We start from the raw sequence: 3,172 nt of genomic DNA, 5'->3' as shown, positions 1-3,172 counted from the left end.
GTTTGACTCTGTTACCCGGGCTGGAGTGCAATGGCATGATCCTTGTTCATTGCAACCATTGTCTCCCAGGTTCAAACCATCCTCCCGCCTCAGCCTCCTGAGTATCTGGTACTACACACGCCTGCCACCATGCCTGGCTGATTTTTGTATTTTTGGTAAAGACAGGATTTTGCCTTGTTGCTCAGGCTGGTCTTGAACTCCTGGGCTCAAGTGATCCTCCCCCATCAGCCTCCCAAAGTGCTGGGATTACAGGTGTGAGCCACCACGCCCTGCCTGTGTTCAAATTATTGAGAAAGAAAATTGGGTTGGCATAATTCTTCTATCAGATCACAAAGTATAGGGCTGTCTATGGATTAATGAGTCTTCAGTCAGAAGTCCTCTCCTGTCCACCTTGATATGGCCTGAACTTGAATTTAGGTTACAAAACGTGCCTATTGAGGCAGGAGAGGCTGTGGGTGAATTAGTTTCCTGGAGGAGGGTCATGGCTTGTGGGTAGTGATCAACATCCTAGAAAAAAAGCATTTAAAAATACAGCTTTTCACAACATTGAATCAATGTTCAATATCAGAAATGACCATGGTAAATGCTTGTTACTGGTATTCATGAGTTTGGCTGGTGGTATGTATGCATCTATGTTTTACTTAAGCCTAATTACTTTCAGAATTTCTGTTGTAGTTTGATTAAGATCATCAATACAATGATAAAAACTATTTCAGGGGCAAATCTAGAAATACAAAATAAAATAATTTTCATGAAACTCTCTGCACAGCAATCAGCCTCTGATATGGCAGTGAACGGGGTGTACCTGAAGCCTGCCTGCTGTGGCCTGTATTGAGAACATATTCCTGAAGGTAAATTAGCTTCACACTGCAGCAGACATGCCAAATACATCCATAAAATCCTCCTAGAAAGGGATATGAGAGCTCAAATTCATGTGAAAGCATTTGTGCAGAGAGGTCTGTGAGGGTGATAAGTATGTTATTTACAGACAAATTTCATGAAGTTCACTGAGTAATTAGGACAATAGCTACTCTGGCCTCTAGTCCACCTCCGACTCAGCTCACACAATTTACCCATTCAGATCAATTCTCCACCACTCTTCTGACCAAGCACAACTCTGTCTATTCTAGGGCAAAAATTTTCTGCCAAATTATTTTCTGGTTTTATGCAATGATCTATTTATTCTTAGTTTATATAATATGAAAATTATTAGGAGATAACTTTTGTAACACAATGGTTAAAGGCAGAAAGGCACTAGGGTATGGGTCCATACATTTATTCAACCTTTCAACAAATATTTTCCAAGAACCTAATTATACTAGGTCTTGTTTCAAGCACCTGAAACCCATCAGTCAACAAGATAGAAATAAATCCTACCTTAATAGAGCTTACCTTCTATGTTACTACAAAATAAGGTCAATAAGTAAAATATTTTGTATAATGGAGAGTGGTAACGATAGGAGTAAAAAATTGAGCAGCCAAGAAGAAAACACCTTTGTTACTTTTAAGGTAGAAAGATAGATATAACATTAGTAAACTCCCCAGAAGCCTATAGCCTTGGGTTGAATAGAAGTCAAGAGGCCTCAAACCAGCCAAATGCATTTTTGAGGGAATAAATTCTGCTGAAGGACAGAAGAGGTCTTAGGTCAGGGCATAAAATGTGTACAAGTTTTAAAAGGAATAGATCATCTCGCAAACTGGTAATCAGGGGAGGAGGACGTGTCAGGCAAGTACTGACAATAAGGATGGACAGAAGGGCCAGCAAAGCTGAAGACATTCTAGAGAAGTAGGGATCATCGGGAACCAGGTCCCTATACAAAGTCAGAGTAATGAAACCGAGCCCAGGCAAAGAGCTTGAGAAGCCGCTTTTGAAAATCTCAGCTAAATTAGCCTCAATTCTAAATCAACTTTAACCCTCAATGAGGAACTTTGGAAAACATCTTTTTAGGGCAGAAGTCAGCTCATCTTGTCCGAGGCCTGCAGGTAAAAGGAAAGGAGGGGTGGCTATGATAGTAATGTCAAGGGTACTATTTAAAGCACTTCACAAATGGTAGTACAGTGTTGTGTCCAGGCAGAGTGGATAAAGGCTCTAATACTGGAGCGAGTCCTAGAAGATTGTGTCCGGCATTCTTTCCTAGTTGCTGGATGGATTATCTGGTGGTGGTGGCGGGGGCGATGGTTGTTGTCTAGAGCAACAACAAAGAAGGGCTAGGAGCTCAGGGAAGTGGCTGTTAATCAACTTGTACTCCAACGCTTTGACAAATTCATATAGTTTGTTCATCTGTCAAGTACTTGAAATACAGGATCCTAGAAGGACAGCTTGGATGACAAGAAGTACCTGTGCCCATTAATAACGTTTTTGTTCAGGTGAGGAGCACAGTACATTTATCGGAATACAAAGGACCAGCCTAGCAACTTTCAGGCTGTACCAATGGCACTCTCCTTATTCTCTCCAAGGCCTGGCTCTGCAGGAGTGAAATGAGGTTGAAGACACCTACATCTCAAGGGTGTGATGAGGATCAAATGAAACAGGACAATGTTTAGCATCATGGTTACCATGTAGGAGTTGTGCAGTAATCGCTGGAATATAATAGTATACTACAGAATATAATGGTACATTAAGCAATATCTCATTCAATTTCCTCATTCTACAAATGAGAGTCTTTAGGTACAGGGATGTTTGCAATTTCCAGTGGTTGCCCAATAGTTTAGTCACAAATTCAAAAGAGGAAAGCAGGTGTCCTGTCTCTCAGTGGAGTGTGCTTAATTCTACATTATACTATGTCACTTTTATCCTTTTACAAAGAATTTGCCATATTTTTGCTCCTGTGGTGCATTAATAACTTATGCATTCATGTTTACAACTTTTTGCTGTAGAATATATAGTAGTGAAGAGGGAAAAAGTAAACATAAAATGAGATTTTATGCACAAAGGATAAGACCTATAAGGATGTGCTTAATGAAGGGACTTGGTGTATGAGATGGAAAATTTCAATTAGAATAGCACACTCTTAAATACAGGCCATGACTCGTTCTTTCAAGAATGTTCAGTCGGAATGGTGTTGTTTTCTATTTGTTGTCCTACCAAATATTTCCCAGTTATTTTCCGACAACTTGAGTCTCCAAAAGCTCAGTTAAGGGAAATATTTTGACAGAGCACAGATGATCTTCC

The sequence above is a fragment of the Homo sapiens genome, chromosome X (genome assembly GCF_000001405.40).
Source record: "Homo sapiens chromosome X, GRCh38.p14 Primary Assembly".
In the NCBI taxonomy this organism is placed as follows: domain Eukaryota; kingdom Metazoa; phylum Chordata; class Mammalia; order Primates; family Hominidae; genus Homo; species Homo sapiens.
The sequence above is the reverse complement of the archived record's forward strand: the minus strand, read 5'-3'. Positions refer to the sequence as shown.